Genomic DNA, 26,807 nt, shown 5'->3' with positions numbered 1-26,807 from the left:
CTTCAGTCTGCCACAGTCATATGACACTTGCACATATATGTCATATCACACACATACACAGATATTCACTTACTGCATACAACACTCAACTTGCTTTTTCTATTTGCTTTTTCTCTCATGTCTTTCGGCATCTAGAAGGGCGTGAATTTTTCTTCTAATGGACATCTTTACTCTAGTAATTTTGTATTTTCATCATCCTCTCTTCTTTTTTTTTTTTTTTTTTTTTTTTTTTTTTTTTTTTTTGAGACGGAGTCTCGCTCTGTCGCCCAGGCTGGAGTGCAGTGGCGGGATCTCGGCTCACTGCAAGCTCCGCCTCCCGGGTTCGCGCCATTCTCCTGCCTCAGCCTCCCAAGTAGCTGGGACTACAGGCGCCCGCCACTACGCCCGGCTAATTTTTTTTTTGTATTTTTTTTAGTAGAGACGGGGTTTCACCGTTTTAGCCGGGATGACCTCAATCTCCTGACATTGTGATCCGCCCTCTTTCTCAGTTAGTACTTATACTCAGTCAGATTACTCCACTTTTTACATATTCCCCTCTTCCTTTCACCCCCAATTTTGATAATTTTCCAGGTATTACGTTGTTAAAGCATATAGCCATTACATACTGCATGCTTTCCTCAAAGTCACCATTCGGTACTAGTTCTCTGGGTGCTGTTACACCATGCTAAGTAGTTCTCTGGGTGCTGTTACGCCATGCTAAGTAGTTTTCTGCGTGCTAGTACATCATGCTAAGTAGTTCTCTGGGTGCTGTTACACCATGCTAAGTAGTTCTCTGGGTCCTAGTACACCAGCTAACTAGCATCTCTGGGTGCTGGTACCCCACATTAACTAAGAAACAGCTTCATGTAACAAAAATGAGGGCAAAGTGGTGGTAGAAATATGGATAGTTAGTGTGGGGTACTAGACATTTCAGGAGGGCTTCATAGGAATAATATTCTCTGAGTTTTTATATGGATGTATGCCTGAAAGTCAGTCTGGCTGGTTGGCTCACATTGTTTTCCTTGAGTATCTTAAATCTGTTTCTCCATTTTTTTTTTCTGGTATAAAGACTTGCTGTCAAAAAGTCTGATGCAGCCTGATTCTCTTTCCTCTGTAAGATTCTGTATCTTTTTACATGAATGCCCAAATAATTGGATTTCAATCTAAAGCCCAATAATTTACTAGAATATGCTTTTGTATTGACCGTTCAGGTGGAATTTCCCAAATGGAGTATGTTCTTTCCCAATATTTAAGTTTTTATTTTATTTTTTTTTTTTCATTTAAGGAAGCTTTGTTTTATAAGTATTGGCTTTAGTATTCATTCTGTCCCGTGTTTTGGCTTCTGCCTCAGCATCTCCAATTATACATATGTTGAATCTTCTAGTCTTCTATATTATTACTTTCAAATATTTTTAATGTCTTTCTTAATTTTCCTTCTTTTAAAATACTTCCTTTTTTACATTTTATATTTATCTGTTGATATTATATGTGATGGTTATTTACTTTTGTATTTCCTCTGATTTCATCTCTCTTGTTCTAAAATGATGTTTCTTTTATTTCTAGTCATTTACTAAATTCTGTGAGCTCTATTTGTCATCTACTTATCCAGTCACCTTATTTATGTGTTATTTTAATTCTGATAGATGCTATTCTTTCACAAATTCTGTTATTTGTAAAAGAACAACATATTGTTTTTGAAAGATTAAAGTTTTTGGTTTATTGTGACCATATCTTTCTGTTGTGCCTTAGTGTCTGTAGGGATATTATTATGCTAATTGTTCCTTTTTTTATACTAACTTTGCATTTAGTCACAAGCTTTTATTGCTAGTTTAAGTGAGATGATTTTCCAGTATTATTCGAAAGAAAGAGTGGGTCAGAGTGCCTCTGTGGCTTCACAGTCCCAGGGCTTCCTCTTCTAAGGTTAACATCCAGTGTCCAAAATTACGGCCTCTTTCTTCCGAAGATCTGCTTTCCCTTCTTCCTTCCCTCACTTTTATCTGCGCCATCTTTCTTCTTCTCCCCTAGAGTCCTGTCTTAATCAGTTGAGTCTGCTACAATAAGACAATACAAACTGGGGAGTTTAAACAGCGGAAATTCACTTCTCACCATTCTGGAGGCTGGAAAGTCCAAAACCAAAGCATCAGCAGGCTTGGCCATCAGGTGAGGGCTCACTTTCTGGCTCACAGATGGCTGCCTTCCTGCTGTGTCCTCACATGAAGGAGAGAGAAAGGGTCTTGTCACCTTTCATAAGGAAACTAATCCCATTATGGGGACCCATCATAGGGACTCTACCCTCAAGACCTCATCTAAATCTGATTACCTCCCAAAGGCCCCTCCTCCAAATACTCTCACCTTGGGAATTAGAGCTTCAGCATATGAATTTTGGGGGAGACACTCACAGTCAGTTCATAGCAATTCCCTTTCCTGCTCAATTTATGTTCCTCTCTGTCTTAGTCAGTTCTGGATGCTATAACAAAATACCATAGACTGGTGGCTTAAACAACAACCATTTATTTCTGACAGTTGTGGAAGCTGGGAAGTCTAAGATTAATGTGCCAGAAGATTCAGTGTCTGAAGAGGGCCCACTTCCTGGCTGATAGATGGCTGTCTTCTTGCTGTGTCTCCACATAGTGGAAAAAGGGCTAGAGAGCTCTCTGGGGTCTATTTTACAAGGGGGCCAAACCCATTCATGACGGCTCCACCCTTATGACTTAATCACCTCCCAACCCCACCACCACCCCATATGATCACTTTGGGGTTATAGTTTCAACATGTGAATTTCAAGGGACACAAACCTTCAGACCAAGCACCCTCCCAACAGTTTCCCTATAGTGCAGTCATCCTTAGCTCTGGGCTAGAGAGGAAAGTCCGCCTTCCTTCATTCATACCTCTGCCCCAGGAGCATGACGTCCAAGGTGCAGGGGAACATGCCACCCAGAGCCACAGCTCCTCTCACAGCCACACTCAAGCTGACCTGGGACTCTAATTCACTGCCAAATAGCCGTACATCACTGCTTCACCACCTAGAAATAATGATCAGATCTAGCTCATGGGGACTAAACTGAATGATGACTTTGAAAATTGTGTAAAGGGTAGTATGCTGCTCTAAGTCGCTTATCACTGGTGTCAAAGTACAGCTGTGACTTGGATTTTGACCCTTGGGTCCTCTGTAAATTGAGTTTTGCCTAAGATCTACCATCAGAGTATTGCCACACAGGGCAACGCACATCTAAATAAATGGATGGAGAAAGCCAGCCATGCAACCCACTAGACCCATCATCGGTCCACCCTCTTACACAGGCACTCAGCAAGCATCCACGGAGCACTCTGTATGCACCAGCCTGCAGTGCACCACAGCAGGCTCAATGGGGAAAAAGAGAGGCTTATAATACAACTGTAAATATTAACAAAATACAAAAGTGCCTATAAGACAAATGACTCCAAGGTAGGGAAGGTACTTTCAACGGGGTGCCAGCAGAGTGCTATGGGATCCCACAAAAATAATACATGCCCTTCACACTGAGTGTGGACTATACACCAGGCTTGTGGTCTGTGCTTTTCTTCATTTTCTAGGTGAGTACTGAACTCCAAGTCATACTACTCACTCTAGATGTGAAGAACAAGATGCAGAGAGGCTAAATGACCTTGCAAGTGACTGAGGTGGAACTTGAAGTTGGTCTGACGGAGCCCCAAACTCATTCACTCATTCTGTTGCACTTTGACTCCCTGAGCTACAGCTCTCTCTCTCTTTCTCTCTCTCTCTCCCTCCCTCCCTCTTGACAATAATTCATTTATTTGCATCAATTCCAACAGATATGGAATTAAGCCTCTACTATGTGCCAGGTGCTAGGTTCTGTGAGCTGACATTTATCCCAGGAAAACACATAAAAAAAGGCAACTTAGCCAGTAAATACATGACATGTTGGAGCGTGATGAGCACGTTAAAGAAACGATAGGCAGGAGCTGGGGCTAGGGGTGTCTGCAGGGAGAGCTCTAATCCATTGAGGTGGCAGATGTGAAGGGCATCAGAGCAGAGGGCCCAATAAGAGTTGCTTGGCATTACAACCTGATCGCATGTCCTACGGCCTTGAGCGAATTCCTTAAAATGTCATTCCTTCAAGCTACCTCATGGCAAAACTTTGAAATTGGCACCAGCAATTTTTTTTATTTATACTTGCAGATATGAGTAAGTTAGTGTGTTAATCCAAATCTATAAATGGGGAAAAGTGGTGGATTTAGTGCATGTATTCAGAATGCCAGGCACCGTATCATCTGCATGCATATTAGTCAGGGCTCCCCAGAGAGGCAGCACCAAAGGGATACACGGAGAAAGAGAAGTTAAGGAATTGGCTCACACGATTGTGGAGGCTGGCAAGTGTGAATCTGCAGAGCTGGCCAGCAGGCTGGAAATTCCGGCAGGAGTCGACGCTACAGTCTTAAGTTCAAAGACAGTCTGAAGGCAGAACTCTTTCCTTCTAAGGGACTTCAGTTTTTCTCTCTTGAAGAATTCAACTGATTGAATGAGGCCCACCTGTATGACGGAGAGTAATGTGCTTCACTTAAAGTCTACTGATTTAAATGCTAATCACATCTGAAAATTAACTTTACAGCAGCATCTAGACTGGTGTTTGACCAACCAACTGGGCACCCTAGCCCAGCCAAGGTGACACATAAAATTAATCATCACAGCGTTAAAAAGCGAATGCCAAAGTGACAACAGTGGGATTCTAAGACCAGGATGAATATGAAGCAGGGGCAACTCACCTGCTTAACGTTTCACAAAGTCATCTTTCCGCTCATTGCAATGCAAGGTCATTTTCGTGGTGACAAGGCTGACATCTGAAGATGTCAGTGATTTCAACTCTAAGTGACTGTCCCTACCCCAGCCAGACAGAGTTGGGCTGGCCACCTCCCAGGCTCTGCAGCAAGCGTGGGGGGCCTATACTTAGAGGCAGAGGAGCGGGAGGAGGCGATCCTCATCTTAAATGTCACAGTGATTTATAGACTATATTTCCTGAGAAAAGTGCAAAGATTTATTTCCAGGAGACAGGCCGTTTGTAAACATGCAACTCACAGGTGCGGCTGTGTGGGTCGTGAGCCCGCAGAGGCCTCCGCCTTTTGCTAGGGAAAGGAATGCCAGTGGGTCCTGGAGGCAAGAGCAAGGGCTCAGACCCAGCAGAGTCCTCAGAATAATGGCTCTTGTGTTCTTCATGTCCCCAGAGGAGCTAGGATTAAATCAACTTGTGGTACCCTACGCCACCTAGCTGGATGAAAAGTGAGGAAATGATGAGCAGGTAAGGTGATGGGCATGTTAATTAGTTTGAGTTAACCTTTCTCCAATGTATACACATATCAAAACATCCCTTAGAGCCTCATAAATATATAAAATTATTTCTGAATTTAAAATACTGCTTTTAAGTTTTTAAAAAGTGAAAGGATGAAAAGAGTAAGTGTTTAACAAGGGAGATGAAAAATGATCAATTTGTATGCTCATAATAATTTGGCTTAAAAATATATAAAGCAGTCACCAACGTTAAGCAAGAAGAAGCTAATACATCTAAAATCAACTAGGGAAAAGTTAATATTTCTTTCCCAGTCATTGATAGCTGGACTGGAAATTACCCCCATGAAGCCAGGAGTCAGGAAGGGCTAGACAGAAGGAAAAGATGAGTGGGAAACGGAGGAACAGTCCTACAGAAGCAGAAAGCCATGAAAAGTGTCTTTCTCAGCCCTGGATTTGGCACAATGAGAAAATTCTCCCCAAATATTTGAGGCCCTCTCATGTCCCGAAAAAGCTTGCTTCCCCAGAGACCTACCATAGATATCGAATCCATATGAGTTCATAACTAAAAATCACACAATTGTAGAAATAAACTAGCCAGCCAGACATAGCAAAACTCAGCCAAAACAGGAAACGAGGAGAAAAGAACAAAGTCAGACTTCAGATATGTGGGCTGTCACGCACAATATGTATAGCAAATATTTCAAAAATATGACGGAATCAAAGACTTGCCTGCAATAAAATGGATAGATTCAAAAAAGAATGAAATGGAACTTCAGTGAATGAAAAATCTAACCAGGGATCTCTTATTAGTCCTACCGATTTGTCTGGAGAAGTTGTGGATTCTTGTATCATCACATCATCTACACCTCATGAAGTAACACGAGAAACTCAGGTGTCAGCCAGGGTCTTTCTGCCTCTCTGAATTTGGGAGACATTGTTCAAACCCCCATCTTTCTGGCTGCCTCTCTGCATTCATGCTCATGGGCATGGTCAGACATTCATGCCCCCAGCTATACCCGAAGGCCGGAGCTCCCACCGGTTTCTCTGCAGACCCACTCACGGCCAAGCAGGCTGGAAATTCAGCAGCCTCACAGACATCGGGCATGATAGAAGGGGTGACTCTGGGGCTTGTGTCACCTTCTGCCACCTCTGGCTCCCCCCCTGCCCCCATGTCTCCTCCTCCCTCCAGAAAGATGGGTGAGTTCCTTTCTCATCATCTCACACAACAATCCATGAAGAATTGTGCTCACGCTTGCACCCTTCAGATCCCCACATTCTGCCCCAAGCAGGCTGTCAAGAAATTTCTGAGCAACAACAACGTCACCCCTTCGTCACTTCCCCTGGAAAGAACTCAGGAGACTGTGCAGAAGGAAACTTCTCTACCTCATTTCAACAGATGCCCCAGCAAATCTAAGTGCTTTTCCTGCCGTGCCGTGGTAAAATAGTGCCTGCTATGATGAGAGGGCGTCTCATCATCTGTTTTCCTGTCTGTCTCCCTGCAGGCTGTGGGCTCCGGGGGCCGGCTCTTTGCTGTACTGGCTGCCCCAATCCACAGGATAACAGAGGCGGGTGCAGGAAGCCTGAGGCCTCCTACAAGCAGCTGCAGGTTTTTGCCTCCTGTGAACCCCAGTTCTGATGTCCTCACGTTCCCTCAGCTACCTGCCGGCGTAACTCTGCTGCCATGGAGCTGTGGTTAATGGCAAAGCTCTGCCTTGGTGCCATAAGGCTCCAGGAGCAGTCGATAATGTACACGTAAAGCAGTTGCTTTTAAAATCTTTTATGTGCCTATCATATTAAAAGCAATCCTTTGGAAATTACCAAGACATGATGCACACCTGCCTGCAATTTTTATAGCTCCTTTTTCCCCCCAAGTGAAGAATGCAAAATACTCAAAACTGAGCTTGTTTCTTTTCTTTCACAAAAGGTCCTGTAGGTTCTTCGCCCTCACAATCTCTCCAGCTGGGCCTGATGCCTCCACCTCCAGGATGACTTTGTCAGCTCGGATCCTTAAGGTTGCTTTCCTGGGCTCAGACCTCCTGGAAGGTTTTCTTTCTCTGATTTTGCCACTTACCCCAAACTTATTCAGTCTCTCCCTGTCCTTGCCACCAGAAGCATTTTTTTTTTTTTCCTGAATTTAAGCCCACTGTGTCATCCCCTGGCTTAAAACCCTGAAATATCCTTAGTCCTCCCAAAGCTGGCCCCGGGCTGCTGCTGCTGCTGCTGCACACTCTCTGTAAGCAAACAAGCAACACTCGCGGTGTCCTCCTTCCGGCACCGGAGACCGGGAGGAAGAAGAACCTGCAGGATCCATTCTTAAAGAAACACATCACAACCACCCACCAGCCTCCGTTTCACTCCCGCGGATGCTGGAAACGTCTGACGCTGGGCCAGCCGCCTCCTTCCGCACCTTCGGCGTGGCCATCCTAGGAGGCTCTGACACTCCACGGACGGTGGCTCACTGGGCTCCATCATCGTCATCAAGCGCACACACACTCCTCCCATGCACACGCACACTGACACATGTCCACACTCACGCTCACCTCACTTTCAGCTGAGGCCACACTTCACGTTTCCGAGAGAAAGCGGGCGAGGCAGCAGGAGCTCTGAGGGATAACTGGCTCGTCCGCTTGCCTGTGCCCCGGGGCACCTACAGAGTGGGTACGTGACTTCCGGGGTGTCTGTGAGGGCGTTTCTGGAAGAGCTTCGTGTTTGCAATGGCGGACTGAACACAGCAGCTGGCCCCTCCCCAAGGTGGGTGGGCCTCGTCCAATCTGTGGAAGCCGGAACAGGACAAAAAGGTGGAGGGCGTTTGGATTCTCTCTGCCTGACCCAAGGCAGACATCCGTTCCCTCTGGCCGTTGGTACTCCTGGTTCTCAGGGATTCAGACTCTGACTGGCGTCCACTCCATTGGATCCCGGCCCTCAGGTCTTGGAACTTGCACTGCCAGCATTCCTGGGTGTCCGGCTTGCGGACAGCAGATCGTGGGACTTCTCAGCCTCCAGAATTGCACGAAGTGTCTCCTTACGAATCTCTTCCTATGTACGTGTATCCTATTGGCTCTGTTTCTCTGCAGAACCCTGACTAATGCAAACCCTCTCATCTCACAGCAGTGCATGTACAAACCCACTCACATCTTCCCCTCCCCTGCCTTCCCTACCGCAAGTTCCCTCCGACCAGAGGCCAATCCCGCTGCGGTGCCCCGGACCCACCCTCTGCACCAGCCTTCCTTCTTGTTTTCTAAAAGCTCGCGTTTTCTGTGGGCTTCCAAGGCTGCTCTTCAGTATCTTTACGTCAGAGCCTCCCAGCTCCTTCCCCTCTCTCAAAAGCGTTTTCACAGGGACTGTAGGCTCCTTCCCTCCCCTTGATAACCAAGTACTATGCCCCAGGTTCTTACCTCACAGCCCAAAGTTGTCCTAAGTCGGGCCCTGACCTGAGTGTCTCCAAATCCAGCAGGCCGTCTGCTCTCCTGTGACATGCAGCATCCCACGGCTTTTCCTAAAAGACCCCCTCTGTCAGCTTTGCTGTCACCCACCCTCCAGGGCTCTCTCTTACAGGTCTGCCCTTTGCTAGCATCTTAGCCTCTCCACCTCCCGGTGGTCCTGTCTGCGATGGACCCCCTCCATGTGTCCCAAGGCCCTCCAAAGGAACAGGTCTGTATCAGGTGCAATTAGATTGAGGTGCAATGCAAGGGCTTGAATTGCAGAGAGGTTCATTTTTCTTTTTGTAGAAAAGTCTGGGACCAGCTGTCAGAGACTGATTTGGCCACTCCATGGTCACCAGGACCAGGCTGTGTCCATCTTTTCTGTTCTGACCTTTTTCACATGGGCCATTGTCCATGTCACCGCTGGTCACCAGCTGCAGCAGTCGCATTCTTGCTCCGGGCAGCAGGAAGAAGGTGAGACCAGAAGGCAGAGGGGGCTGGTCCTGCCTGGTCAGCCCCCAGGGGGCTTTGCCCAGACACCCCTTCCCCACCCATGGCTCTGCTGATTTCTCTATAGCTGCCACCCTCTGAAAAGGGAGCTGGCAGAGTAGTTCTTAGACATGGCACCTGGCCACCTCTGTGGCTGAAGAAGAAGGGGGTTGAGGATTGGGGTACACACCTGTCAGTCTCCATGCAATGCCCCAAAGTGGACCACTGACCCCACACCACGCTGTTCTCCTCTGAGTTTTCTCACCTCTGTCCAAATGGCTGCAGAAGCCAAAAGCCCCAGAGCCCAGCTCCCCTTCCCTCCTTTCTCTTCCATCCTTCCATCCTTCCATGAGCCTGCCCCTCATCCTCCTCAGGGCTGGAACTGGCTGCCGGATTCCTCCCTGGCTCCGTGGGGGCTGGCTCAGCAATCTGAGCTGCCGATGGCTCTGTGGTCCAGCTGGGAGGATTCATGCCCCATTGGGGCTGAGAGGAATGAGGTGAGGGCTGTGGGGTTTGCCCAGAATCTCCTGAAATATCGGGCCCAGGAACTACAGCAGGACTCTCATTCCGCCTTCTGGCCACTGTTGGGGGTGACACTGGCAGGATCCAGGGGCTCTGGAAAGCTCCAGGGGAAATTTGAGGCATAACCCAGCTTCTCTGAGACGGAACTCAGGGAGGATCCAGCTCAATCCTACAGAGGCGACCCCAAGGAAGGACCTGCCCAGGGTCACTTGGAGAGCTGGGCGGGAGGAGGGAGAAACCTCCCCCGTTCAGAGTGACAAAGCCCCCCTTGCCTCAGGGATGGCTGAGATCCAAGTCCTCAAAACACGCCGCCATCTGGAGGGTGTGAGAGCGAGGTCCGTCCTCAGCATGGACGCTGCAGTGCACACTGTTCCGTGCCAGGTGCTGGCTGACCCTGCCCTGTGGGAGGTGATGGACAGGCACACAGGGGGAGCCCCGCAAACAAGGGGCCCTGTTACAGCAGAGTGGGAGAGCGCCTGGTAGGACGCCAAGCACCGTGGCCGGGCTGCAGAGAGGCCTGCGGGACTTGTAGACAAGACGTCATGGAGAAGGCGGAGCTCCCATGGGCCTTGCAGGTTTCACCAAGCAAGAGCGGAGAAGACACAGGCTGGACAAAGGAAGGTGGACGGGACAGCCAGCCGTGCAGCAGCCTCACAGGACACAGCTGTGAGTTGGGGAGGGGAGCCGTGGCCCTGTTGGCCCTCCCAGGACCCTGGTGTTGACTGGGGGGCCCCAGCTCCAGACACCTTCACAGGCAGCTGTGCATGAAGCCCTCCTCACCTATTTAGGCACACCCACAGTCTAGGCTGCCGCGCAGAAGCCCACAGAAGGGTCAGTGCGTCCAGAGTCTCCCCAACATTGGACACCCACATCACACACATGCACATGCACCCATGGGCCAGTCCCTGGTGAGCACACACACGGCACCTGCAGACATGCCTGCACATGCAAAAGCACACAAGCACACACAACTGTGCAGGGCCACACAAGCTCAGTCACACACACGGTCACACATGCTTATGCACACTTATACACCCTCCACACACTCTCACACACTCCCACAACACACACGCTCACATGCACACACTAACACACACGTTCACATACACACACGCACACTTACACACCCTCCACACACACCCAACACCAACGCTTACATGCACACACTACACACACGTTCACATACACACACCCTCCACACACATACCCCCCACAACACACACGCTCACATGCACACACTAACACACACATGTTCGCATACACACACTCATGCACTTATACACCCTTCACACACTCACAAACATGCACGCTTACATGCACACACTACACACACGTTCACACACACCCTCCACACACACTCCCACAATGCACACATGCACACACTAACACACATGTTTGCACACACATGCACACTTACACACCGTCCACACACACGCTCACATGCACACTAACACACATGTCCATACACACACTCATGCACGCTTATAAACCCTCAACACAACTCACACACCCCAACACACACTCACATGCACACATTAACACATGTTCATATACACACTCATGCACATTTATACACCCTCCACACACATATACCCCACAAAACACACACATGCACTCATGCACACTTATACACCCTCCACACACACTCATACACCGCCACAACACACACACATGCACACACTAACATGTTCACATACACATTCATGCAGGCTTGTACACCCTCCACCCACACACACACCCCCACAACATGCATGCTTACACTAACACACACTTATATACCCTCCACACACACCCAACACACAAGCTCACATGCACACACTAACACACACACGTTCACATACAAACACCCTTCACACACACATCCTCACAACATGCACACTCACATGCACACACTAACTACACACACATTTACACACGTGTTCACGCTCACGCACACGTGCCTGCACTCCCCGTGGGGTGGTAGTGTCGCCTGTCCCTCGGCACCTGCCAACCTGTGGGAGCTGCCAGGACTCCACCCAATTCCCCCAATTATTCTCTTCAGAGAACTTTTTATTAAGATGATTTGTCAGGCCTATCTCGAATTTCACAGGACTAAAAAGCCCCATCTCTGTCACCTCTCAGGCATCCTCTGATCTGACAGACAGGAATATGCGCTCCCACCCCAGAGCCAACAGCTCCCCAGCCCTCTCCCCGCCCCCGCCCGCAGAAACCAGGACTTCATCTCTTTGATGTATAGGTCGCTTCCCCTGGCACCTAAGCTTGCCTGAAAGTTGGGAATATGATGACTCACCGTATTTGGCAGCTCGTATGCGTCTATATTTCAAGACATTCATGCTCATGCTCATTATAATTAGGGCTGGAGAATCAGCACAGTCAACTGCCAAAATCAAGTGCACAATTCATATCAACCTTTCAGACCAGACAGAGAGCACCAGCTGACACTCATTCCTCCAGCACCAGGAAATGCCACAGCAGAAGAGAGTCTTCAAGATGGGCCAGACCCACTTCTGCAGCATGGTTGCTGGGAGCCTGCACAGGCCAGGCATTTCTCTACAGGTCAGCAGAGCTGCAGCAAGATCCCAGGTCCTGACCCAAGGCAGTCCTGACCCATGGTCTATCCCCACCGGCCCTTCCCTGGAGCTGTGCCTCAGCTGGGGAGGTACTTCTGGAAGGCAGGTGGAGGAGGTAAGCCTCCTTCCCAGCCTGCAAGTCTGTGGTTTAGGTGGCCTATACTAACTGATACTCGTACAGGTGCAATTGAGAACTCACTGAGGCAAAAGGGCCTTTGTCAACCCACAGAAGTGACAAGTCCAAGTGCAGACCAGGCTTCAGGTATGGCTTGATGGAGGCACACACGCTGTCTTTCCAGCTTCCAGTGTAGGGTGTCTGGGTGCCCTCTACTGACAAGATGGTAGCAGGAGCCAGAGACTTTCTGTCCTCTCAGTGACAAGTTCAGAGGGAAAGCCAGGGCCCTGGCCAACATTTCCGTGTGTCCCCTCTGTGTACCCAGTCCTCACGTCCATCTCTGTGTGGCTGGAGGAGTGTAATGTCCAGAGCTGCTCGGGTCTAAATCACTCAGGCCTCACCTGCCAGGAAAGGTGTTTCCCCAGCTTCAGGGACCAGAAGTGGGGGGAAGGATGTCCCAGGAAAATGTAGGTGGATGTGTCCAGCAAAGAGTAACCAGACACTGGGGCAGCAAGGACCTAGGTTCACCCCAGAAGGCTGGCTTCCACCCAACAAAGACATCACCATGGGAGCTAGAGACAGACCGGGAGGAGGTGAGAGGACAGAGCCCAGGGTCCTTGCACGGCCCAGGCGGAAGGGGGCACTGAGTCAACAGAAAGGAAGAAAAAGGGAGTTCAGAGGGGACAGGGCTGTGCCAGCAGACATGTGTGGGGACCCCAGGCCGGCGAGGGGCTGGCAAGGCAGGAAGGAGGGAGGCCATGGCCAGTGTAAGCAGGGCCATTTCACCTCCTGGGAGCTCAGCCTGACCGCCTGTGTGTCCTGCGGAGACTCCATGGGGAGTGGAGATCGTGTCATGAGTCCTTATTCGGGCACTTCACCCACAAGTCACTCTGATCACGTCTGTGAGTCCTTATTTGGGGGCTGCCCCACCGCAGTCGCTCCGACCACGTCTGTGAGTCCTTATTTGGGGGCTGCCCCACCGCAGTCGCTCCGATCACGTCTGTGGCTGCTTCTCCCACAGGCTCCCACAGGTTCCTGTGATTAGGTCATTTGCCACCGGGAGAGCTTGGGTCCCTCACTGTGCACCCCCACCCCCTTGCCACTGCCTGTGGAGTGCACGGCACAGCACCCCTCGAGGGGCGTGGTGTTGAACTAATATGCACTTGAGGGGTCCCTGACCACGGGAGGAGGGAGGGAGGGACGGGCAGGCAGACATCAACAGCCGCCAGTGGCTCCCAGGCTCTCATCTGAGACAGGACAGGGAGGTAGGGCGAGCCTGGAATGAACGCTGGGTGGAAATGCCCGGGGAACCACAGGGAGCAAGACGTGGACTCCAGGAAGATGGTGCTCTGGTGGGTGGGAGTATGGAGGGCAGAGGGCAGGGTGGCCAGGGTGGACCCTCTCCATCAAGGGTCGCTGCAGGGAGGCAGGGCGAAGACGGGACGGGGAGATGGTGGGTATGGAGGGACAAGGGCAGAGAACTGGGCAGCCTAGGGCAGGCTCACCCTCAGACAGGCTGGCAGAAAGGGGTTGCCAGGCTGGCAGAAGAGGGGTCACCAGCAAAGCAGGAGTGGGCAGAGGCAAGAGGCACAGAAGGCAGAGGCCGTTCTGCCGCAGTGCAGCATCCGATCAGCGGCTGGTCAGCAGCTGGAGGCTACTCTCCTCTACTCCACAGGTCCAGTTGCTCTTCAGAACTCAAAATCCCATCTCTGCAGGTCTCAGCCAATCCTGCTCCCGCCTGTTTTTATTTCCTGCCCAGAGCAAGTACAGAACCGAGGGCCATCGATGGGCGAGAAATCACTGTGCCTCCAAGCTGTATTTTTCACCGTAACAAGTCATTACTTCTGTGCCCGGAGTCATTTCTCAGGATCTTAATGCATTCGTTTATCAATCAATACTTAACTGATGTCTATAAAGCATGTTCAAAATCAGAGGTGAGAGCAGCTCACCAGGTACCGACTTCGTGTCTGGAGCCACCTTGTTAAGGAGCAACCCTTGGCACGGGTCCCGTGTCTGCACCCTCGGGAGCTCTGGGTGGGTGCACTGGGGTCCTCACAGCCCTTCCCACCACCGCAGATGGAAATCTCTACCTGGCAGAGGGGCTCAGTCGTCCCCACCTGGGAGTCTGGGGCCTACCGGCAGCAGAAGGTGCAGTGGCCAAACACAGAGACATTTCTATCATCAGACCTGGTCCCCAGCCTGACTCTGCTGCCCACTTACCCCTGGCCAGGGCGAGTTCATCGACTGTGCCGAGCCTGGCTGCTTCTCCAGCCTAACAGGAGTCCCCGTCTCGACAGGACTGAGTGGGGTGAATGCAGCCAAGTGCTCAGCAGAGACTGTCCCACCGGGAAGTGTTCACAAATATGGGCTGTTGAACCTGCTGTTGTTAGATCTAGATCCAGTTCTGCGACCACGTTCATGACTTAGATCATAACTGAAGTGCGGGCCAGCCGAGGCCGGGCCGTTTAGGGGTTTGGCTGCTAATTCAAGAAGGACACCTGGGTTTGGATCCCAGAGTTCCCTCCAGACCCAGATGTGGCCTCAGGCAGGTGATGAGCCTGGAGATGCGGTTTCATTTTCTGCAGGGTGGTCAAAGGAGATCTCAGGCTTGTAGGAGACAAAGCACATCGCCCCGAACTGCTCAGGAGGCGCAGATTACAGCCACCCTCCTTATCCACCCCGTCTCCCATCACAGCCCTCATGAGTGCTCAAGCAAGGCTCAGGGCCTGATGGACGTGGCTGCCTCCTCCTAGAGGACAGGCATGTCTCGGCTGCCTGCACCAGCCAGCGGCCCTTCTCCCCGGCCAGGAGATCCTCCAAGGAAGGCCAAGGGCCAAGCAGGTAGGCTAGGGATGGGCTCTGGTACATGGGCCCCATTCCCATGATTGGAAACTTCCCAGGCGCCATTTGTCACCTTGACTCGCTGTTTCAAGCCCGGCTCTCCCTGGGGCGCCAGGAGTGGGCCCAGGCCCTTCCGACAGCCGGCCTGCAGCTGTGCTGGTGACTGATTGGGGATGAGGCCACTGTCCCTGCCTTCCTGGGAGCCAGGATGTTGATTGAATGGCCATTTCACTCTCTCCAACAAGCAAGTAACAGTGTAAACTGGGGTCTAATTTATCAAAAACAGTCGCTTGTATTCTGCGTGGCCCATGTTCTGGGCTGAAACAGCCGCTACCCAGCTCCTGGCCCACGTGCGTGCGATTTCCTGATATTTCAGTTTTATGGAAGACATCTCACTGACGAATGTCTCTTAGTGAACGATCATTCTGGAAGCTATTTTGCCTTCAAAGAGGCTTCTCCTGGAATGGGCTGGGAGGGGCGGGCACCGTGTTATATATAAATTCACTGCCAGGAGCGCCCAGCAGGGGAGGGAATGAGATCGGCAGGAGATGAGAATGAAATGTGTGCGGCTGCAGCCAAGCCTGTCCTCCCTGTCACCGTCCGAGGGCTGCTGGGATGGGCGGGAAGGCCAGATGTGGGACAGGTGGCCCAAGTGACGCCCCCAGCTTCACCACCTGCCACTGCCTGGCCTTGGGCAGCTCACTCCCTCTGGGAGCCTGGGCTTCTCACGGGGCATAATGATTTACAAATTGCTGCCACTTCTCTGCTTGCTCTCGACCATCATTACACGTCAGGCAGGGCTGGGACTGGAGGCTGAGCTGTGTCCCAGCTACGGGTGACCGTGCCAGAGCTGCCAGGGATCCTGAGGCACAATGAGAGCCTTCCTTCCACCCACCGTGCGCTTTCTGCCTGTGATGTGGCCGAGACATCGCAGGCTGTGGGGTCCTCAGCGCTCAGGCTCCCTGTACTCTCTCTCCCTGCATACCTGGACCTCCGTTCTCTCTTGCTGGAGGCCTAGAAAAAGTCCCTGGAATGAAATCACTCAGGCTCTGGTGCAGACACTGGCACCGCCTGTCCAGGGGGCCCCGGATAAGTCCCTCCCACTCTCTGGACTCAGGGGCCATGTCTGCAAATGAGGCTGGAAAACGAGATGGTCCCTACAAGGCCCTCTGGTACCTGGAGGGACTGAGTGTCCCAGCCTGGGCCCTGCAGCAGCCCTTCCATATCATGCATGCAAGGGACTCTGAATCCCAACCCCACCATTAGAAGGGCCGCTGTCAGCCAAGAACAGGATCGTCATCCCCTCCGTCCCCTGCACAACGGAGCATAGCTGCCCCTTTCTACCATCTTTGTTCTAGGTTGAGGTTCTCAAAGGGGAGTCCCAGGCCAGCAGCATCAGTCCCACCTTGTAGTGTGCTAGAAATGCAGATTCTCAGGCCCCTCTGCGGTCTATAGAATTCAGAAGTCAGGTGCTGGGGCCCAGGAATCTACTTTAACAGGCTGCATTTTCTGCAGCTGCTGGAGCAGATGACCACAAACTCAGTGACTGCAGAGTGCACGCGCTCATCACCTTACAGTTGTGTAGGCTGGGATCCCACTGGGCTAAGACCAAGGTGTTGGGAGGCTGCGTTTCTTGCTGGATGCTGTAAGGGAGAAGTCGTTTCCTCGTGTTTTTTTAACTTCCTTGGCCCACGGACCTTCCTCCACCTTCAAAGCCAGCAGCCTCGCGTCTTCTGACCTTCCATTGTCACATCGTCATCTGACCCACGTAAGGACCCGTGTGATTAGGGTGGGCGCACCCGGGTAATCTTCCCATCTCAAAGTCCTTGACTGAATCACATCTGCAAAGTCCCCTTTGCTACGTAAGGTCACATGTTCACAAGATCCAGGGATTAGGACTTGGACATTTTTGGAAGCCCATTGTCCTGCCAACAGCACAAGACCTCCAGGTGATCCTGATGTGTAACGCACAGTGAGAGACAAATGCTCTGATGGACCATCAACAGCAGAACGTAAGCAGGGAGAGGGACCCCGCCTTCCTCCCCAATCTGGCCCTGTGCCTAGCAAATTATAGAACTTTTGTAAGCAAATGAGTTCATTTGTGAATAAATGAACGACCGGTGAGACGAAGAGCTGGGCGTAGCAGCCACAGGTGGGGCTGCCAAATAAAATGCAAGATGCGTGGTTAAATCTGAATTTCAGATAAATAACAAGTACTTATGTTTTTGGGGGTTTTTTTGTTTTTTTGTTTTTTTTTTGAGATGGAGTCTCGTTCTGTCGCCCAGGCTGGAGTGCAGTGGTGTGATCTTGCCTCACTGCAAGCTCCACCTCCCGGGTTCAAGTGATTCTCCTGCCTCAGCCTCCTGAGTAGCTGGGATTACAGGCATGTGCCACCATGCCTGGCTAATTTTTGTATTTTTAATAGAGACGGGGTTTCACCATGTTGGTCAGGCTTGTCTTGAACTCTTGACCTCAGGTGATCCACCCGCCTCGGCCTCCCAAAGTGCTGGGATTACAGGCATGAGCCACCACACCTGGTAACAAGTAGTTTTTTACTACCAGTGTGCCTCTAACAATATTTGAGATATACTAAAAAAAAAAGTTGTTTTTTATCTGAAATTCAAATTTAGCTGATATCCTGTATTTTTCTTTGTCAAATGTGGCTTCTCTAAGCATCAGTCCAGCCATGGCCCAGGTGGTGAACCTGGAAATTCATTCCTCCCTCCAGAACTCTGTTTCCCTGCTCAGTGTTCTAGAAAGCATCCCCTTCTCTGGCAAACCCTGTCCAATCTCTCAGGGAAGATGAGGCCTCCTTCCTCTTCCTGTCCTCCGTTAATCGATATTCCCACCCCAACCCCTCCTAGAATTTGGTGATCTGGGGTCTGAAGTCTTCTACCAGGAGCTCAAGCTGATGGGCTGAGAAGCCCAGTTCTGACGTGAATTCTGCACCCCTCCTTCGGGAACAAGGAAGACCCAAGCTTGCTTATCTCTAGATCCTGCGGGGGGCTTTTGAGAATCCCTAGTTTTGAGGCTGTGGGATGGAGCTGCATGGGAGAGCCAGGAGGAAGACCCTGGCACAGCACGCTCTGAGTATGGGGTTGCTGCTGGCCCACCCTGTTCCCTCCACACTCTGGAGGATGTGGAGTGGACGCCATCAGGGTGCAGCCATGCAGAACGGCTGGGTCTGTCCCTGTGTCCTCACGCACAGAGCTCTGGAAGGCAGGCAGACGTCCTCACACATCTGTGAGCCAAAAGGCAAAAAACAAAAGAAGCAAACAAAAAAATCCACTCCGATGTTCTTATGCTTATGGGTTCTACAGACTTGCATATACATAATGTAATGAAAATTCTTGATTTCATCTTCAGAGACATAAATGGAAGAAAATGTACATAAAAGAGAGTCCACTTAAACATGTGATCCTCTCAAAGGAAGAAAAGAACAGGGCTCACTCATCCACATCAACCCGGTGAGGCCCGGACACCCCCCACCTCTTCTGCTTAGAGCCCTATTATCCTTTGATCTCCCTAATAATGTGTTTCTTTCCTGGTAATAGGTTTTCATCATCCTCACAGCCTATTGATTAGAACTCTTTTCCAGGGTTTTGAGATATTGGCTAAAATAAGGGATGAAATGATTCAGTCTTCAGGTGATGTTTCAAAGGAGGCGTGTTCGTAATGTCCTCCCGCGACGAGGGACCTGGCCAAGAGAAACTACGCAGGAGGCCCAGAAGGCAGAGCCTGCTCCAGGTCGGCCTCACTGCTGTCCCTTCTGACCTCTCGACATTTTGGTTTTGGCATGGTGAATGGGGCTACCACAGTGGGCCAGCCAGCATGACCCCCTGACCAGACCTGGAGGCAGGCAGAGGAAAGGAGAGGGCCAGGGATGGGTGGGTGGCCGGGTGTGTGCCGTTTGCTGAAGTTGAGGCACTGTGGTTCCTGGAATCCTCAGCCCAGGGACTTCTAAGACACATCTCTAAGACACAAACAAGATCTACACCTCTAAGAGGGAAGGAATGACCGGCCCATCGCAGGCTGTCTTCGACTGTTGGGGCTCCCATGACAAAATGCCATAGACTTAGGGGCCGATGAACAACAGCCATTGGTTTCCCACAGTTCTGGAGGCTAGAAGTCCAAGAGCAAGGCTCCAGCAGAACGTCTGGTGAGGGCCGCTTCCTGATTCATAGACGGCACCTCTTTGCTGTGTCCCCGCCTGGTAGAGGGCTGAGGGATCTCCCTCAGAACTCTTTTAAAAGGGCACTCTCCTCATTCACCAGTGTTCCACCCTCAGGACCTAATCACCTCCCAAGGGCCCCACCTTTTAATACTATTTAATACCATTGCATTAAGGATTAGGTTTCAACATGTGAAACTGCAGGACACACACACTCAGCCCATAGCAGATGCCCTGAAGGGGCTGTGAAGTGTCGTGAGTAGAGCCCCAGGAATGGAGGGTTCTGGAGGGGCACATAGGTCCAACAGAGCGCAGGCATAAGGTGGGAAGCCAGAGGGGGCTGTGTGGGCCGGACTGGGTCAAATCAGGAGGCCTGGAGATGCCTGGTGAGGAGCCCCGGTCCCACGATGTAGGGGGCCTGTCGGCACAGGAGTGTAGGCCACGGGCTTGTGGGCAGCCTCCCTCAGGAGGGTGTGGGGCTGATGAGCAGGTGTGGGCGCAGGTGCATGCATCAGGACGTGTCCCCTGCGGAAGCAGCTCCTGTAGGATCACCTCCTCCACCAGCGACCAGGAAGGACATTGCATTTAGACTCTAGGTGAGTCCAGCTTCACTCATCGCCAGCTGAGGCCTCATTTTCTCATCTCTAAGACATAAACAACCACCCCCTCTTCCCAGGAACACACACACACACGCGCGCGCACACACGTGGTTCTGCGGCTCATAACTAAATGTAATGAAAGGTAAACTAAAGTGCCCCTCCATGGAAATCGACCCCAATTCAGCCTCTAATCCTGAGATGCAAGATTCAGAACCAGTATGTCAAGGAAAAGTGTTTCTCTGCATTGATCCTCGAGGATACTAAATGTATATTTTAAAAAATAAATTCTGTCCCAAGTGTTTGGTGAGACAGAGAGAGAAGCAGCCGCTTCTGAAGTGAGCACAAGGACGTGGCTTTTCTGGAGGCTTCCTCATTGCAGGACCCATCCATCACCTTCAGGGGTTCGATGAAACCGTTGCAAATATGATCAATCATCTTTTTATTGAATTAAGACAAATGGCTGGTTATTAATAGGCTAAGACTTAATGAGGAAAATGGATAATGCCGCACAGGGAAAAGGCAAAGAACTGTGCACACAGCCTCTGCACTTTTTCTAGAAAGATCTGGAAGTGTCTTCAGTGAGAAAAGCCCCGGGCTGGATGACCTCTTTGATTCACACTAAGGACTCAAGGAAGCAAAAACTCCTAGGTTGACCCTTTCTCCACCACCTTCTATCTGTGTGATCTTCAGGCAGTGACTTGACCTCTCTGAACTTCTGTCTCTTCACAAAGGTGCTTGGCTTATGATGTTGTGCCTGGCAGACGCAGACTGAGAGAAGCAGAGTCCTGGCCTCCAAAATCTGAGTTGTGTGTGGGACAGAATGGTGTGCTTCACCTGCGGTTCTGAGGGGGCCGGCGGGATCAGATGCTGGCACAGGACATGGGAAGGGGGTGCGTGTGGGGCAGAGCCGTGCAGCAGGTGCACAGCTGTGCAAGGTCCCCTGATGGGCCCTCTCTGCTCCATGTTTCCAGAAATCCTTGGAAAGGAGCTCAAGTGGCACAGTATCTGGAGCGTGTTGTGGACTTGGTTGGGATGCCTGGTGTCTGTTTATGGCAGCACTTCTGGGGAAACAGATTGTGTTTATGTCAGAAAGAAAAGACCATGTTTCGGGGCAATCCCTGCAGCTCGTTAGGTCAAATCAACACCCCCAGCCCATCTGCCTCCGCAGGGTGCCTCGGCCCCACTCAGTGCCGGCAGACAGGAGCCTCCCAGGGAGCAGCCGAGCTCCAGGGCGGGGGAGCCACCACCGAGCACAATAGCCAATCAGCCCCTTCCTAGAAGCAAGTCAGGCTGCCCGGCGTGCTTTCTGTCTGTCGTTCCTGCAGCCTCCACGGGCACCGGCCCAGGTGGTCCCTGGCTGGATGGTCAGAACTCAGAGCTGTGAGCTGTGGCTGCTGATTCCCTCCTGAACAACAGGGTCTAGGGAGACAGGCAGACACAGAAACCTCAAGTGAAGTGGGGGCTGCGGGCTGGGGGTGCTGCACGGGGCAGTCAGGGGCACAGCAAAGAGGACGTGACCTCAGGTCCTCGGCAGCAGGGAGGGAAGGCATGGAGTACATGCTTTCCTCTGGGAAACACTCATATCCGATTCACATGATATTGTCCGCAGTGCTGAGCCTGGCAGACCTACATCTTCATCTTTTTGGTGCGTTAATGAGGATTTTTATTTCTTCTTTAATGATTAATTCCTAAAATTATAATACTTATGTGAATAGTACCAATGCTTAATATTTTTGATAAAAATTTAAAAATTGAGCTCCAAAAGGGATTCACCAATTAATATTTCCATCATCATTATGCAGAAGTTGCTATTTACTCACATCCTTAATTATAGAGGAAAGTATCAATGAATGTTTACCAATTTAATGACTCAAATATTTTCATATCTATATTTCTCCATTATTAGTGACATTGTGCACTTTTACTTATGTGTATTGACGATTTGTACTTTTACTCTGTGAATTTCTTTTTCTCTTCTTTTTTTCAACTTTTATTTTAGAATTGGAGAGTACATGTGCAGGTTTGTTATGAAGTTATATTGCGTGATGCTGAGGTTTGGAGCATGAGTGAATCTGTTACCCAGGTACTGAGCATAGTACCCAATAGGTAGTTTTCTTTCTACCTTGCCCCCAGGAGTCCCCAGTATCTATTTTTCCCATCTTTGTGTCCATCTGTACCTAATGTTTATCTCCCACTTACAAGTGAGAAAACGTGGTATTTGGTTTTCTGTTCCTGCATTAATTTGCTTAGGATAAAAGTTTCTAGCTGCATCCATGTTGCTGTGAAGGACATGGTTCCATTCTTTTTCATGGCTGTGTAGTATTCCACGGTGTCTGTGGGTTTTTTTTAAAGGTTGTTTTTGAAGAATACTTGACAACATGGAGAAATTCTCAATGCGTGAAAAAAAAGTAAAAGGAAAGTAAAAGGGAACAGAAGTATATATAAAGCATGTTCCAATATTGTCCAAAAATATTATTATTGATTATCTGGGAGAAGTTTATGGGTATTTATGCTTTTTTCCATCTTTGAAAAATACTCTGAGAATATGCATTAGTTTTATGAGGAAAGTGCATGTTATAAAGCCTAAAGATGAATTGTGTCTCCCCACAAAAGATAGGTTGAGGGACTCAGCCTGTGGCCTGATTTGGAAGCAGGGTCACTACAGATGGAATTAGTTGAGGTGAGGTCGTCCTGGAGTAGGTGAACTCCAATCCAAGATGACTCATGTTTTTGCCAGGAGAACAGCCATGTGGAGAGAGACCACAAAAGAAGCCACGTGAGGATGGAGGCAGAGACTGGAGCCACACAGCCACAAGCCAGGAGTGCCACAGATGGCCAGACTCTGCCAGGAGGGCTCCTCCACACAGGATTCCCAGGGAGCACAGCCCTCCTGCCCCTGGAGCCTGGACTTCTGGCCTCCAGGACTTTAAGACAGTAACTTTCTGTTGCTTGAAGCCACCAGCTGTGGTTCTTCCTTACAGTGGCCATTTTCCAAGGAGTGGCTCCTGGTGTGAGGACACAGCAGCCACTGAAGGGGCCAACGCCGGCTTGCAGTGGCCGTCCAAAGGACTGGACATTTCACCGCTGAATCCAGAAGGGGGCCTGCCTGGCCTCGCCCTCTCGTGAAGGGCCACAGGCTGTTTGGGAAGGAACCCAAGGGTGCCCAGCGGGAAAGGCAAACTAGGATGGGCTTCCAGGCACACTCTCCCCTAGGCCACCTCGGCCGGAGCCTCCAAGGGTGGGGCCCAGGGCCTCCAGCTGCTCTCAGGACCACCCACCCCCCATGACAGAGCAGAAACCCACGGATACCCGTTCCTCAAAAACTGTCCCCTGGCCCATCCAGGAGGAACCATCAGCTTACTGCGAACATCGTGCTTCAAAAAAAGCCCTTAAACAATAGAACCTTTTTATTTTTTAACTTTTTAACTCAGCAGCCACTATGTGATATTGTACACTGTCACAATGTACAATAGCTCCCCCTTATCCGTGGGGGGCACATCCCCAGACCCCCAGCAGATGCCTGAAATCTCAGACAGCACCGCACCTGACAGCCACCCATGGGAACATTGTTCACGTCTTCCAGCCACAGATTTCCTGTCTTTCCCATTTTAACTGAGTCCGTATCATGCTCTGTGGCTGTAACTTTTGCATTTTGAGGTGTGACAGCAAAACTAGCATGAATTTCTTTTTCTTTCTTCACAATTTCTTTAATAGAAGATTCCCTCTGACCCTAGTTCTTAGCAGCCTCAGCAAACAATTATTTTATATCCTTATAAAGTGTAGAGCTTTCACCTTTTCATTTAAGGAAGCACTTTACGGCTTCTCTTTGGTGTACCTGAATTGTTGGTATCACTACTCTAGTACTTTGGGGCCATGGTTAAGTGAAATAAGGGTTCCTTGAACATAAGCACTCAGAAGCCACAAGAGTGGATCTGATAACCCAGATGGCCACCAAGTGATGAGAGGGTGGGAGCGCCCACAGCCTGGAGATGCTGGACGAAGGGAGGATTCTCGTCCAGGCAAGATGGGGCAGACAGCATGAAACTTAAGCATGCAATTCAGAATGGTCTGCAATTTAAAACTTATGCATTGTTTATTGCTGGAATTTTCCATTTGATATTTTTGGGTCTTGGTTGACTATGGGTAACTGAAACCATGGAAAGAAAAACAAAAGAGAAGGGAGAACAATTGTATTGGAAATACGATGGTGGATGAAACAGACAGCATCTCTCCTCCAATGCTGTGAAGGGGGTTTGTATCTGAGACTCATGCCCATCCCTTTCCTGCCATCTCCGCGGGGCTCTGAGAGGCTCCCCACATCACAATTTAGAAACTATTGCTCAATTCAAGGGAAGGCCCCACCTGGACCCCTCCTCAGGCTACTGCAGTCTGATGGCAGCCCCGAGTCCCCTCCTCTCATCCCAAACTGCTGGCCTGCGGGTCCTCACTCTGGCCCCCATCACCATGACCACCCTCAGAAGCTCGGGGGAGTGCGCGCAGAGTGGCCTCCAATACACTAGGCCTGGGCACGGGGGACAGATGTGACTCTGTCCAAGTCACATCCCCACAGCCCACCTGGGAGACGGCTCTTGTCAGGTCATCTCAGTGGTGAGATGGAGACCGGGGAAATGGGTAGCACTTTCTGTTTCCACAAAATGGTGTTCCGGAGATGAGTCATATTTAAGCAAGACGCTTCCTCTAAACAATTAAATATTCCCCGGAAATGGAGGCTGGCAGTGAGCAAGTCCATATATTAGCCTTACTGGGGGCCTAGCCGCACTCCATCTATGTTCCAGCCTGATGTACATGGCCTCTACCATGAAAGAGACTGATTGGCAGCATTTTTTTCTGTCCTCATTGCATGCAGGTCCAAACCCTTCTGAGAAGTCCATAAACCAAGGTACCAGCACCATGGCTGCCCCCACCTGCCCCCTGCCCGGCTCGCTCCAGGAAACCGTGGTGCAGCCGGGGGCTTCCTCCTTCCTGAGGTTTTTTATTCCAGACAGGCAGCTGCTGGCAGCGCTTAGAGAGCGATTTAAAAGCCCACTAACAAGGAGTCTTGGGCTATAACACAGAAACTCACAGAATGGTGCTCTCGTGGGCAACTTATTCATTTTAGTGCTACTCAGAGAGGCCTAAAAAGACCTGATAAATACTTAAAATCAGAATGATCCTGAGAGTGTTTCACAACACAACAGGTATTTAATTGGCCTCAATTCCGTGTTAGGAAGGCGTGGGAAAGGCGCCGTTAAGCCATTTATATACCCAGATGACTGCCCCCTCCTCCCCAAGCCTACGACGGAGCCTGGCTACCTTGTTTCTTAGCGGGGAATAAAGCAAATAATTTTGCGAGAGGCAATAAAGTAGGATTGGGGAGGGAGAGACGGGACCAGATCCAAGGGTGGCTGCGAATGTCAAAAGGACACTGCTTGGCTTGGTCTCTCCATTGACAGCACCTCAACTCCTCTTTAGGAATTAGCTCCCTGCAGGCCTGGCATGAGGAAGGGGCCTTCACTGCCTGGGCAGCTTCCAGGGGCCATGGGGGAGCTCCGAGAGGTGTTTCCAGGGTTTCCCATCCAGCAGGCGATGCCAAGCATTGGGGCATCCACAGAGGGCAGCACTCACCAGGGCTGGGTGTCTGCTCCCATTTCCAGGGTTGCGATCCTCCTAGGCATGGCAGCCAATTCCGTGTCTTTCTGCCTCCTCCTGTTCATCTCTGGTCTAGCTCTGGATTCTGTCTTTTCTCCCATGTACAATGCATGCAGTTCAGGGAAGCTGACTCCAGGTTGGCTGTGGGATCTGGTTTATCTGTGTAGACATGACTCCCACAACATCAGTAGAGACCTGACTCCCCCAAAACTACACTTCGGTTGTAACACAGGTCACGGTGGCTGACCAGGCTCCGGGATCCAGGGCTGCAAACCCCAACTCTGAGATCCGTGCCCCTGCGACAGGCTGCTAAGGGGCTATAGCGTGACATTCTGTGTCCACATCTAAAATACTGGTATTTTATGAACTAGGCACTGTTCTCAGTGCTGACAGACAAACTGCCTTGCCCTCAGGGAGTTTACATCCTAGTGGAGGGAGATTAATCACAAAAATATAGAAAGACAAGTTATATAGGGCATCAGTAGGTTATACGCGATGAAGGGAAGGAGCCAAGAAGAAACGAGGGGTGGTGTTGACAGCACAGCGGGAGGGCAGGGAAGGCCCCTCGGAGATGATCCTCCAGCAAGGACTTGCGGTTGTAATAACCATGTGGACAGTGGAGGGACACTGTCCTGGGCAGCAGGGAAGGCCCCTCGGAGATGATCCTCCAGCAAGGACTTGCGGTTGTAATAACCATGTGGACAGTGGAGGGACACTGTCCTGGGCAGCAGGAATGGCCCACGCCAAGGCCCCGTGGCAGAGGGATGTCAAGAGTGCTCCAGGGACAGCCAGGGCTGGTGAAGAGTGAATGAGGAGAAGAGTGCAGGAAATGGGGGTCTCAACCTTGCAGATCCTCATAGACTCGTGTGAAGCTTTCACTTCCACCCTGCCTGAGATGGAGAATCACAGGAAGCTTTGAGCAAGAGGTTGTAGGGTGTAATTTAGGATTTAAAAAGCCCTGGAGGCTCTGGGGAAGAGTCCACGCTGAAGCATGGGTTCGGTTGGCCACCTGAATCCAGTTGCCTGAGGCTGTAGGGCTGAGGTCCCCACTTCCTTGCTGGCAGTCAGCTAGGGGCTGCACTTGGACCCTAGAGGCCACTGCGTTCCTCACCACAAGGGCCCCCATCTTTAAGGTCAGAGCCCTCTCGGGCTTTGAATCTCTGGCT

The 26,807-nt window shown here is 50.6% G+C and overlaps 2 long non-coding RNA genes across 2 annotated transcripts in view, besides 3 other annotated features; one reads left to right on the top strand and one right to left on the bottom strand.

Moving 5' to 3' along the window:
• Window positions 1–8,016, bottom strand: part of EPIC1 (epigenetically induced MYC interacting lncRNA 1) — a 223,927-nt gene extending 215,911 nt beyond the window's left edge. The window contains exons 1-2 of the long non-coding RNA NR_122046.1: window positions 7,804–8,016; window positions 4,337–4,510 (exon numbers count right to left, since the gene is read on the bottom strand). This is a non-coding gene — a long non-coding RNA (epigenetically induced MYC interacting lncRNA 1). The remainder of the gene's footprint in view (window positions 1–4,336; window positions 4,511–7,803) is intronic.
• Window positions 8,017–8,120: 104 nt separating this feature from the next.
• LINC00898 (long intergenic non-protein coding RNA 898) lies at window positions 8,121–18,647 on the top strand. Its single transcript, NR_033377.1, has 6 exons — window positions 8,121–10,362; window positions 12,113–12,252; window positions 12,448–12,528; window positions 14,057–15,222; window positions 16,738–17,234; window positions 18,589–18,647. It is a non-coding gene; the product is annotated as a long intergenic non-protein coding RNA 898 (long non-coding RNA).
• Window positions 9,087–9,965: an enhancer, noted in NCBI's record as "H3K4me1 hESC enhancer chr22:48025474-48026352 (GRCh37/hg19 assembly coordinates)". NCBI's record gives its function as "activates a minimal SCP1, AML or CMV promoter by ChIP-STARR-seq in primed H9 embryonic stem cells {active_cell/tissue: H9 hESC(primed)}" and the evidence as "EXISTENCE:reporter gene assay evidence [ECO:0000049][PMID:30033119]".
• Window positions 9,966–10,845: an enhancer, noted in NCBI's record as "H3K4me1 hESC enhancer chr22:48024594-48025473 (GRCh37/hg19 assembly coordinates)". NCBI's record gives its function as "activates a minimal SCP1, AML or CMV promoter by ChIP-STARR-seq in primed H9 embryonic stem cells {active_cell/tissue: H9 hESC(primed)}" and the evidence as "EXISTENCE:reporter gene assay evidence [ECO:0000049][PMID:30033119]".
• Window positions 12,969–13,468: an enhancer, noted in NCBI's record as "H3K4me1 hESC enhancer chr22:48021971-48022470 (GRCh37/hg19 assembly coordinates)". NCBI's record gives its function as "activates a minimal SCP1, AML or CMV promoter by ChIP-STARR-seq in primed H9 embryonic stem cells {active_cell/tissue: H9 hESC(primed)}" and the evidence as "EXISTENCE:reporter gene assay evidence [ECO:0000049][PMID:30033119]".
• Window positions 18,648–26,807: the final 8,160 nt, after the last annotated feature.

This window comes from Homo sapiens, chromosome 22 (genome assembly GCF_000001405.40).
Source record: "Homo sapiens chromosome 22, GRCh38.p14 Primary Assembly".
Lineage (NCBI taxonomy): Eukaryota > Metazoa > Chordata > Mammalia > Primates > Hominidae > Homo > Homo sapiens.
The sequence above is the reverse complement of the archived record's forward strand: the minus strand, read 5'-3'. Positions and strand labels throughout refer to the sequence as shown.